Source organism: Homo sapiens, chromosome 11 (genome assembly GCF_000001405.40).
Source record: "Homo sapiens chromosome 11, GRCh38.p14 Primary Assembly".
NCBI classification, from domain to species: Eukaryota; Metazoa; Chordata; class Mammalia; order Primates; family Hominidae; genus Homo; species Homo sapiens.
The window spans coordinates 27,511,159-27,524,098 of NC_000011.10; the positions used below are offsets into that span (position 1 = coordinate 27,511,159).

The 12,940-nt window shown below is 39.1% G+C and overlaps 1 long non-coding RNA gene, 1 other non-coding gene and 1 pseudogene across 6 annotated transcripts in view; 1 reads left to right on the plus strand and 2 right to left on the minus strand.

Moving 5' to 3' along the window:
* The window catches only part of BDNF-AS (BDNF antisense RNA), a 191,320-nt gene that overhangs the window by 4,307 nt on the left and 174,073 nt on the right, over positions 1 to 12,940 (plus strand). The window lies entirely within an intron of this gene.
* MIR8087 (microRNA 8087) lies at positions 3,812 to 3,889 on the minus strand. Its single transcript, NR_107054.1, has one exon. It is a non-coding gene; the product is annotated as a microRNA 8087 (primary transcript).
* RNA5SP339 (RNA, 5S ribosomal pseudogene 339) lies at positions 10,447 to 10,568 on the minus strand (annotated as a pseudogene).

Genomic DNA, 12,940 nt, shown 5'->3' on the forward strand with positions numbered 1-12,940 from the left:
ACTAGTCTGAGTCCGAAGGCCTGAGAACTGAGAACACTGGAGTCCAAGGGCAGGAGAAAGATATCTGAGCTCAAACAGAAAGGGCAAATATGCCCTCCCTCTGTCTTTTTGCTCTATTTGGGCCCTCAGTGGATTGGATGATGTCTGTTCACATTAGTGAGAGTGATCTTTACTCAGTTTGCTGATTAAAATGCTAATCTCTTCTAGAAACTTCCTGACACACTCAGAAATATTGTTTTACCAGCTATCTGAGCATCACTTAGCCCAGTCAAATTGACACATAAAATTAATCCACCACAATTGTGAAGGGAAGCCTAGGGTAGCAGACATGCAGCTGGCAAAGAGAGCAATCCATTCACACTGAAGCAGGGCAGAAGTGGAGGTGAGGTGTTGCCAAGAAAAAAATGAAATATGTAGTTCACCAGTGTGGGTGAGCATACTGATAACACATTTATGCATTTTAGTGGAGAGTTTGGGAATAAATTGGTGATAGGCACATAGAAAACTAAGCAAACGGGAGGAAATAAAGCAATTATTAACTCCAAAAAAACCTGAAAAGCCATGTAATAAAGGAAATGTTTATGAGTATAAGGTGGATCAGCTGCATACAACATATTCAGCAACTTTTAATTTTTTTGAGTATAAACCCTGTAATGCTGTTTGCATTTTTAAAGACATTTTAATAAAAATGAAAATTAATAAATAGGAATCACAATACTAAAGATAATATTTGATATATTTTATTTTGAAATATTTAATTTGTATTGGCCTCATCTTTTCAATTTGAAATCTTTGCTCTTGGGAAGGGGAATAAGAAAACTTAATTATAAGCACAATTTGCTGAAAAAGCACAGACTTACTAGGTTTAAAGTAGTGTTTAATGATTAGACAATTTTCATTTAATAGATTTGTACATCTGCTTTGTTTGGTATTTGAATCTCATTGTGCTGTAGTCTATGGATTTGCTACCCTTGATCAGATACTCACCCTTGGTTCAATCAATTCTATCTGGTACAGTGGAAGTAATGGTTCACCCAGGTCCCTGATAAGTCTGGGGGTAGAATATCTTCCCTTAGAAAAGGCTAGAGTACAGCAGGCAATGTATTTGGCCTGTCTAATATAGTACATTACATATACATTTGGGAAAAATGTTGCAAATTCCATAAGAGTAGCAGCCTGACATTATGGGAAGAGCACAGGACTAAGTGTCAGGAGCTCTGGTTACTAATCATAGATGAGCCACCTTGTGATAGTGTGATCTTGACAATGTCACATTCTCACTCTGGACCTGTTTCCTTATTTGGCACGACCACTGAATAAGATCTGTCTGAGCCAGCTGCAGTGACATCCACCTGTATGTAGTCCCAGTTCTTGGAAGACTGAGGCAGGAGGATGGAGGCCGGGAGTTTGAGGCTGTATGATTGCGCCTGTAAATAGCCACTTTTCTTCAGCCTGAGCATCACAGCAACACCCCAAATCTTTAAAAAAAATCTGTCAGCACATTAAAAATTACTTTACTCTATGTCAATAAAGTAATTAATATAAATACAGATTCCCTTGAACTTCATGGACTTATCAAATCAGAATCCTTAGGAGAAGGCTCTGGGAATCTATATTTTAAAAAATCCCTAGTGATTCTGACACAGCTAGCCTGACACAGGGACCTGTGTTCAGGATTTAAAAGATTATTTCTAGGGCCTTTTTCTACTAAAATTCAGTTTCCCTATAAAACTGCAGAGAAAAATTATTGAGAAAATGATTTTCATTATAAAAGAATATGTAGCTCTTGCATAAAGGGCAGCATTTCTAGCTAATTTTAAAATTTATTTTATATTATTTTAGGCATAGATAAGGAAGAAAAAAGTTTTGGAAACTACTTCTGAGAGGGAAAAATATGCCTGAAATTAACCAACAGCCAGCTTGTACTTAACATACAAAATAAACAAAAGAATCAACTATTGTGTAAGGAGAGAACCCCGAAATGTTCCTCGTTAATCGAAATTCAAGAGTATTAGCGTCGGGAAAGATCTAGAGAGTCAACTCCCTCATATTAAAGAAGAGAAGATGGATTGCTGTCCTACATTCAAAGGAGGCCATTAGGAGCATGAACCAAGGGAAGCTGGTTTTCCTTCTATGCCTCTGCCAGGTTATTAAATCACCAGGCCTCCTAATCAAGAATTGCTCTTCGTGTGGAAGAACTCCTCTTCACCTGTTGCTTCCTCATATTATTTCCTGCCTCAGAGATGTAGAGGAACTGTAAAATTAGAATAGGATGTTTGGGTCTAGACAAATCCCAGTGAAAGCTAAATTATGGAAATTTAGTCTTTGTATAACAAATGAAAACCCTAAGTAGGCTGCCAAGGTACAAAAGCTTTCTTAACCCGAGACATTGCAAATACAACGTACTAAGTGAAAAAAGGAGTGGGTGGGGAACAGTGGGAGTAGAAGGCTGTCTAAAGGGAAGCTAGGAAAATGGAAAGTAATATGGAGAAGCAACATGCTCCAAGTGGAGTGTTTTACTATTTCATTGCCTGTTGAACTGTACACAAATAGGCACTACTACATAAAATAGCTATTTGAAACAGTTATGCCATTGCAGGGTAGAACATTACTCTCAAGTAAAGGCTTCTAACTGTACAATTAAAGTCTCAATCTTCTTTTTTTAACAGAATTTCTCTGATGTACTCAGCAAAGTAAAATTTTGAATAGATTATTTTATTTGAAGTGAATGATATTGTCAAATGTTAAAGAGTCTGCATTTTAAAATAATTTAAACAATATATAAAAACACTTGGCCTAATTAAGTAATCATAACAGTATGGAAAAATCTCTTCAAGAGCACCTTTGAAGGGAAATTTTATCACAGATCTCAGATCAGAACATAGAAACCCATCTGTGAGTTCCAGAGATCTAACATAAACCCTACTTTTCCTTGTAGGATGAGTTGCAGATTCTATTAAAGTGTAAGGGTTGACTTTTTTAATGTCACTTGTTTCATCATCACTCTGTAGTACATGTAAAGGCACAGATTGATGTATTTTTCTGGCATCTTCCTGACGCACCCTTGCCCTATATAAATCGGTTTGCCAGGATCTTGTTGCTTAAATTAGCGATTGCAAACTCTTGGTCCTGCCAACACAGCCGATTGTGCCAAGGTTCTCAGCATCTACTGGCACATGAACTGTTGCCTTTTCTTTGGCTTTCTGCATGTACCTGGGGCCATCATCCTTCCTTCACAAAGCAGCAGTCTGGCTTAGTTGTCCCTGAGAAAGACTTCAGGATTGGTTGGACTCAACTCTGGCCCTCTTCAGGTTGTGCATCCTGCACAATGTATTTTCAGCCACACAATGTATTGTTCAGGATTTGTCGTGCACATACTTGCAGATTGGCAGAGCCAACTGCCAGAGATGAGAACCTTTTAAGTTGTTGTCAAACGTCATAAAATGTGTTCCGTGATTAATTTTGTGGGCACAGATTGGTTTTTGCACAGAGTCCAAAATTTAGGATATGTCACAGTGACTAAATGGCACCGGCATGCTGAATGAATTTGGAATTTGTTTTGTCAAGTGTGGGAGCAGGCACACAGATGGGCTTTGATCCAGTGGTGCTGCTTGGAATTCTCATTATAGCAATGATGTCACTTGTCACGTGGAGTAAGTGATAATGCTGCCAAATTGTGGAAAAAGCAAGGCAAATAGGAAAGTACACAGACCAAGAGAAAGGACTTAGGTAGCACAGTAAGCTTTCACTATCAGATGAATGGACATAAACATTGCTTTTGGGCTGCCAAAAATATGCATAGTAAAAATACAGGCAGAAAGGAAAACTTCCAACTGAAAGGGCCCTTAAAGTAGGGCCCCTGTAATCCAAGAAGTCTTCACTTCTTAGAGAAAATCAAGTAAAGCAAACATGTCCTTGATTTTTATATTAGGCTATGAAAGAAATTTCTGAGCTGCAATCAAGAGTCTTTCTGCAATATCTAACCAAACCAAAGCCAAAGTATTTTGCTTTATAAAAAAAACCTTTGTCTATGAAGAAGATCAGCAGTCATGCTGGGAAATTGAAAAAAACAAAAACCTTATAGTGGCAAAGAAGTACAGTATACTCTCACCAAGCATGCACATCAGAATTCTCTGTAGGGCTTTAAAAATATATTCTTGATGCAGCTACAGCAGTGCTTAGAGGGAAATTTATAGCTATAAGTGCCTATATTAAAAAAAAGAAAAATATCAAATTAACAACCTAAACTTCTATCTTAAGACACTTAAAGCAAAACAAACTAAACTCAAACTAAGTAGCAGAAAGGAAACAACAAAAGTTAGGGCAGAACTAGAATAAAATAACGATACAGAATAGGAAAACATAGAATATAAATAAAAACAATTGAGAAAGATGATGAAACCAAAATCTGGTTCCTTGAAAAGATCAACAAAATTGACAATGCTTTAACTAGACTGACCAGGAAAAAAAGAGGAATTACTAAAATCAGGAATGAAACGGGACATTTCTACTAACCTTACAAGAATAAAAAAGAATATTAGGAAATACTATAAAAATCTCTCTCTCTTGCCACACACGCAGTATATACTATATATAACTGAATGTATGTCATGTAACTTATCTAATTTGTTGAAAAATATATTTGTCACACAATTCACGTCAGAGGGTCACCATGTAAATTTTGATTCAAAAACTCGAGTATGGCATGAACATTTGTATTTTCTGAAAATATAAAGGTTTTTGTGAGTGACATGTACTTTTTGTTGAGAACCATTGATCTACCACATGGAAGGCATAAAAATTGTGGAATTACAATTAAATATGCATCAATTAGAATTAGGTATAGCTGCATATAAACACAAAAATCCAGGCTGGGCATGTTGGCTCATGCCTATAATCCCAACTTTGGCATGATCTCAGCTCACTGCAACCTCCGCCTCCCGGGTTCAAGCAATTCTCCTGCCTCAGCCTCCCCATTAGCTGGCATTACAGGCGCCTGCCACGACGCTCAGCTAATTTTTTGTGTTTTTAGTAGAGATTGGATTTCATCATGTTGACCAGGCTGGTCTCGAACTCCTGACCTCAAGTGACCCACCCACCTTGACCTTCCAGAGTGCTGGGATTACAGGTGTGAGCCACCGCGCCCAGCTATTCCCAGTATTCTGGGAGGCTAAGGCAGGAGGATCACTTGAGGCCAGGAGTTTGAGATCAGCTTGGGCAACATAGCAAGACCCTGTCTCTACAAAAATAAAAAATAAAAAAAATTAGCTAGTCATAATAGTGTGTGCTTGTAGTCCTAACTACTTAGGAGGCTGGGGCGGGAAGATTGCTCAGGCCCAGAAGTTCAAGGTTGTAGTGTACCACTACACTCCAGCTTCGGTGGCAGAGCAAGACCCTGTTTTGGAAAACAAACAAAAAACTATTTTGAAAAAAAAAAAAAAACTCACAAAAGTCCAAAATAATAGTGCATTTAAAGTGAATGAAAGAAATCCATAGATAGGTAACTTGGTGCAAGTATGACAGCCCCATGGTATCACCAGGATCCCAGCTTTTTTCATTTTGCATCACCATCCTAGGACATGGCTTCCATAGTCAAGTTCACTCATAATCTGAGATGGCTGCAGGAATTTCAGTCATTACATGTGAGTTGCATGCCAGAAAAAAAGAATAAGGAATTGCAGAAGGGTAAAAATCACCCTTTCCAGTTGAATAAGCATCTTTAAAGCACCCTTTTCAGATGTCCAACATAATATTTTGACCTATATCTTCTTAGCCAGACTCAGTTACATGTCTCCATCTTACTGCAAAAGAACTAGGAAGTAAAATCTTTTATTTTGAGTGACAAAGAGCCCAGCTACAAAATCTCAACTCTGTCCCCAAGGAAGAAAGGTAAAATAAATATGGGGATAAGCCTTCAGCAAGCTTTGCCATACTACACCACAACTTCTGGAAATTACCTTTAAACCTAGTTCCTGCAGCATTCCCGGTCAATAGATTTATTTCCCTTCATTGGAAAGTTTTCAACTTAACTCAAAAACGTTTACTAGCAGGTGCTACAGGAGAGAGGAGAAATGTCAGATGTGTTCATGTCCTTGAGGAACTTTCAGGCAATTTCAGCAAACGGAAACTACACCAATGAGACAGTAGGAATGTTATCTACCTGTATGTACTGCAATGCTATGTTTTATGGTTTGGACCACTACTTTATATTTTAAACCTAAAAACCCATTGTCTGCAAACTGACTCAAACTAAATTGAAATAAGCCACATTACTGTTTTAACCCAAACTGATTCTGAAAGCTAGTATTTACTCAACTACAAACCATTCAGTAGTGTGAAGATTAAACAAACAAGCAAACAAAAAAACCCTCTCCAGATCCTCCAGATCCATGTTTCCCCTTCCTTCCTTTCCTGTCTGTCTCTCTCTTTCTTTCTTTCTTTCTTTCCTTCTTTCTTTCTTTCTTTCTTTTCTTTCTTTCCTTCCTTCCTTCCTTTCTTTCTTTCTTTTTCTCTTTCCTTCTTTCATTCTCTTTCTTTCCTTCTTCCTTCCTTCTTTCCTTCTCTTTCTTTCCTTCTTCCTTCCTTCCTTCTTTCCTTCTCTTTCTTTCCTTCTTCCTTCCTTCCTTCTTTCCTTCTTTCTTTCTTCCTTTCTTCCTTTCTCGCCCAGGCTGAAGTGCAGTGGTCCAATCTTGGCTCACTGCAACCTCTGCCTTGATTCTCCTGCCTCAGCCTCCCGAGTAGCTAGGATTACAGGCACCTGTGACCATGCCAGGGTAATTTATTTTTTATTTTTAGTAGAGACGGGATATCACCTTGTTGGCTAGGCTGGTCTCAAGCTCCTGATCTCAAGTGATTTGCCTGCCTCAGCCTCCCAAAATGCTAGGATTACAGGCATGAACCACCATTCCCTGTTCTTAGTGTTTCTTATAACTTCCCAGATATGAACAAAACCTTGCAAAAGAGCATTTCAATAATCTTTAGCTTCTCGATCTTCCAACTGATGTGGCCATCAAATGGCTAGTCAGAAGACAAATAGATGAAGACAATAGCTTTATTAAAGTCAATTCAAATTATGACCTACTATGGTAAGACACTGTGCTGGGGTCTAGAGGCACCAGGACTTCACCCTTCTCTCAACAGCTCACAAACCCAGTGGAAAGGGTCAGACATATAAGCAACCAACAGAAACAAAGGAGATGGCATTAAATATTATTCTGCTCTTGTTGCTTTAGTTGTTGCTGCTTATTGTTGGTCTTGTTGTTGCTTTAGTTATAGGGGTTTTTAACAGAGTTGCAAAGTGTTGTGGAGTAATGAGTGGGGAGAAATGATTTCTCACTGGAGGTAACCAGAAAACAGATTAGAGAGCAGTGATTCTCAACCAGGGGCAATTTTCAAACCCATAGGACATTTGGCAATATTTGGAGATATTTTTAATGGTTATGACAATGGATAGATGGATAGTCAGGGTGAGGGTTGGTACTGGCACGTAGTGAGTAGAGGTCAGAGATGCTGCTAAGCATTTTTCAATGCATAAGACAACTCCCTACAACAAAGACTTACTCAGCATAAAATGTCAGTAGTACCTAGGTTGAGAAACCCTGCTTGAATAAGATGGATACGTTGTACAAGAAGGATCAGAATTTTCACAAGTGGATGAATGGGGACAAGAATCCCAGAGAGAGTACTAAATGAGCAAAGCCCCATTGGAAAAAAAATATAGGCCCTGTTCAGGAAGTAGGAGGGAGGGCTTCAGTGGGGTATAGGTTACACAACGGAACCTGAGGAAGCTGTAAAAGGAAAGGGGGCTTAGCATTTAGATTGAGGCTGAGTGCAAGCTGCTAAAGTTTGGATTTTATTCTTTTGGCCAGAGTGAGCTATTGAAGGATTTAAAAAATGGAAGCAATAGGATTAAAAGTGTGTTTTAGAAATAAAATCAGAGGGAAAAGCTTTGATTCTCATAGCAGATTGTAAGAAAATTCCTTTAAGGGAGTCACCCTTATTTTGGGTGTTGTCTGATGTTTATTAACCTCTGGTTGTTGGAAAATAGCAAAACTGCAGAGAAGGGAGAAATTCTGCATATTTGGGCCTGGGTTGGATGGGCAGTGAGGGGTGAGGAAGGCCAAGGGAATGAGAGAGTGGTGCAATGCTGATGTTTGTGCTGTGAGACCCTTCTTCATGGCTTCCAGAGCTTTGGTAATCTTTACAAAAATTATAATATGCTTGTGCTTGGATTTCTTGTGCAAAATGACTATATTTGGGTTGATTGTGAAGATTGGGAGAGGAGGTTGGTGACAATGGTGCAATGGTAGCATAGAAGTAATAATTTGGATGCTTCTATAATGGGCAGTTTCTTCTCCTACTTCTTCCTTTCAGATCCTGTAGTCCTGTCCCACAGAACTGCTCATGCTTCTCCAGTACGCCAGTCTGCATCATACTTACATGCTCTTCTTTCTGCTTGGCACGCTTTCCTTTTCTAACAAACTTCTGCTCATCCTTCAAGACCCACTTCAAATGTTCCATTCTCTGCTCTGCCCTGTATACAAAATATCAATATTGTATTGTGTTTGCTAAAGTGTTTATTTTCCCCAACCAGAGAGTGAGCCCCTTCACGGCTAAGAATGGCATTGTAATCATCACTGACTCTCCAGCAGGTAGCAAAGCATATTACCGAAGCTCCTTGATCATTTGCTGAATGAACCATGGGTAATAAAATCAGTGAGTGGCAGAAAGATTGTGGCTCTGGGCCTACATAGCCTTTGCCTGGTTGCTGTTAGAACTACATTTTCTTCTCTTTATTAATTTTATATTTTAAACTTCATCCCCAAGCTTAAACATTTCCTTCCAATAGATGATATTCTATCAGGAAGAGAAAAAAAAAAAAACCCAAAGTACAACTTTAATCCTTGAGTGAATGGGCTAAAATCAGGTTTCAATATGCTTTTTAGAATACTTCCATGTAATTAATTTAACATTGACCTGCTTATTAAGAGTCCATTATTAAGGAAACAATTGTAAAAGTCATTAAGGGCATTTCCACAGATCTTAGCTACTGACTCATCTTGCTAGTTCTCAATAAACGTGACCTGAAAATCTCTCATTCGCAGTATCAGGTAAAATGTTATTTTTCTAACCATTAGGAAACATTTACTCTTGGGCTGATTTTTATGTGTTTTTATTGTTGTTGTTAATGTGAAGAAAGTCCTATACAGGAACAGCTGCGCATATGGGTAAATGCCTGGGAATGGTTTAAAGATGCCTTTTCAAAACATCTTCCCCACACTGGTATTATGCAATGCCTCTGTCTCAACAATTAATAAGTATTTCCTTTTGAGTTAAACCATGAAGTATATAGTCACACTAGCTCATTTTGAGATAGGGCAAGACTCTTCTGGCATCAGAAACCCATATTTGGAATGTGGATATTTTGTCTTTTCTGTTTGTTATTTCATCTTATGTTTTCCTTCAGGATTTAGTAAAATTCTTTATGAAAGTATAAGCTGGCTTAGGTTAGGGGTTTTCAACTCTGCTAGGGGGCAAGTTTAATGAGGGAGCCATTCATCCTGGATCTGAGGAAGTCGTAAAGATGACACCAAAGTTTCAAAGGGCCCCAGAACCCTGGCAAGGTTCTGGCATGACCCTCATCCCTCGTCCCCCAACACTGACAGCCTCTCCACCACAATCTGCCTAAGAGACAATCCAGGACAATCTCGCCACTCCCTTCATCCCATATACCAAACTATAAGGTCATTCCTAATAGTCTAGATCTACATCCTGTTTGTTTATTCCCTATTCTGACCCCATTGCCCATTTCCCACTTCCACCCCTTTTCTGTGCTCTGTGGCCCATTATCGGCTAAAGCCCTCATATTCTCAACCTTTTCTCTTAGTGTCTCCTACACATTATTTTTTTAACTGAAACCTGGACCTCTGAGTCCTGCTTTCTTGTAGCCTGGTTGAGTGGTGCTTATTTTCTTTTCCACACCCCTTTGAGTTAAGGCAGGAAGCCTGTAATTATTCCAGGTTCCTTTAGGATAGAGTATGACTCTTGTGAGACCAGAAACATATAGCCTATATTTGGAATGTGAATTTGAATAGAATTCCGGACTTAGAGATGGGGAGATGTCTCCCTGGTTTTTATTGCTCCTATTAGACCAAGTTCTCTTCTCCCTTGGTGTGAAATTTAGACATCATTACCAGCTACCCTTTCTTATTGCAGTTATCTGCTGACTGGGTTACTTTCCACGTTCTTTGAAGATGTAAACTCCCAGCTTATCCGCACTTGTTTGTGACAACAATTTTTCTGTCACAATTCCTAGATGATCATTTCAATACTCTCTGGCATCTGAGTCCCTTGACCTCTTCTCCTATAATGATTTCATTCTCTTCCAACCTCAGCCACTCATGCTCATGGAATGAGCCATTCATAGCCTCCCCTCAACTTTGTCCTTATCAATAACTCCTCATCTTCCATAATCTCCATCTCCCATCCAAGAACTAACCAGGTCCGACCATGCTTAGCTTCTGAGCTCAGACAAGATCAAGCATGTTCAGGGTGGTATAGCCATAGATCAAAATCTCAATCTCAAGCATTCTACCCTAGGCCCACCACCTCATATCTTTCCAGCTCACTGTCCCTCACATTCTGACTTAAAAATCCGTTGACCTAACAATGAATTTGTCCTACCATCTTTTCACTGTCCTTTACATCCTGTGTATCCTTACCTCCTTATCCATCCTAGATCTTATAGTCTATCATAATCATCACTCACTTTATACAACTGTAACTCCCTGGAGCCTCTTTCATGTTTTTTTTCCTTCTTTGGAAAACCCCCAATCCTAGTTATTTGCAGCCCTTTTCTTACTCTGTACCTGTTTTCTGGTTGCTGAACTTGGCTGGAGGAAAGTACCCAATCTACTGCTTGGTATCACTTTAAACTCATGAGCCCCCAAATTTAAGTGGGCCCAGCAATTCTAATTCATTCAAAGAGTTTGTGAACTCTTGCTTCACAAACATGATCTCAAACCTTCTGCTCTCTCCTCAAACTTTTGCGACTTCTTGGTTCTTTATTCTCAGCTGATGGCCTTGATTTCTTTTACACGGCGAAAATGGAAACAATCAGAGGAGACCTTCCACATGTGGTTCCCATCACTTCTTCCAAACCTGCTTGCATCTTCGCCTGTGTCCCCTCATCCATTCTGTCCTCTGAGGAACTGTCCATGGGTCTGTCCAAGGCACAGCCCTCCTGTTCTACACTAGGTCCCAGGATCTCACATCTACTCAAGGAGATCACTCTAGCAATTTTACTCTAGCCATTTTGGAGAGGCTCTCTCTTCCTGTTTGTTTTTTTTTTTAATTTTTTTAATTTTTATTTATTTATTTATTTATTTTAGATGGAATCTTGCTCTGTCACCCAGGCTGGAGTGCAGTGGCATGATCGTGGCTCACTGCAACCTCCACCTCCCGGGTTCAAGAGGTTTTCCTGCCTTAGCCTCCCGAGTAGCTGAGATTACAGGTGTGCACCACCACTCCTGGCTAATTTTTGTATTTTTAGTAGAGACGGGGTTTCACCATGTTGGCCAGGCTGGTCTCAAACTCCTGACCTCAAATGATCCACGTGCCTCGGCCTCCCAAAATGCTGGGATTACAGGCATACGTGATGACGCCCAGCCAAGGCTCTCTCTTCTTCCTCCTGATCAATTTATGTCCATCAGTATATAAATATGCTTTATTTCTATATTAAAATACTTTCCCTTGATCTCAAGCTTCCCTGCAGCTACCTTTGCATTTTTCTTATCTTCTTTATAACAAAACTTCTTCAAAGTATTGTTCATACTTGTAGTATCCATTTCTGCTCTCTTACTCTCTCTTCAATAACTCTAAGTAGACTTTTATCTACACCACTCCACCAAAACAACCCCGTCAGCATCTCCAGTGACTTCCACGTTGTCAAAGCGAATTGTCAGTTTTCAGTCCTTATCTCACTCGAAACAATTGATCACTGCCTCCTTGATACATTTTCTTCATTTGATTTCTTGGATATCATCCTTTCAAGTCTGAGCACTTACAGTGTGGCCATCTCAAATAGAGATGTCTGAGTCTTCTATCAAAATCTTCGCTGACCTTATTGGGTACTTTCTCAATCTTTCTAATGGTTTCTCTTACTTGGCTTCTTAATTTTGGAGGACCCTGAGAATTCTATCCTTAGACCTGTTCTTTGTCTACACTCACTCACTAGATGACCTCATTTGGTCTAATAACTACATACTATCTAATAACTATATACTATCAGTGCTATCCCATACAAATATAATGCAAGCCACATTGTAGATAGGTGAGTCACAGATATAATTTTGAATTTTCTAATGGCCACATTAAAAAATGAAAAGGAAACAGGTTAGATTAATTTGGTAACATATTTTATTCAGCCCAACATATTAAAAAATTAACATTTCAACATGTAATCAATGTAAAATGAGTAATGAGATGTTTTTCATTTTTTAAAAATATTATTTGAATTTCAGTGTGCATTGGCATTTATAGCACATCTCAATTTGAACTAGCCACGTTTTAAGTGCTCAGTAGCTGCATGTGGCTAGTGGCTACTATATTAGATAGCACAGACCTATATGCTGGACATTGGCTTTTACTGAGTGAGATAGCCAATGGAAAGGTTTTTTATATACAAAGTTTTAAATTTAAAAATATATATACAGATAGGGTCTTACTATGTTGACCAGGCTGGTCTCAAACTCCTGGCCTCATGTGATCCTCCCATCTCAGCTTCCCAAAGTGCTGGGATTTACAGGCATGAGCCACTGTGCCCAGCCCAAATGGAAAGTGTTGGGGAGGGAAATGACATGACTACTCTTTTTTTTTTTTTTTTTTTGAGATGGAGTTTCACTTTTGTTGCCCAGGCTGGAGTGCAATGGCACGATCTCGG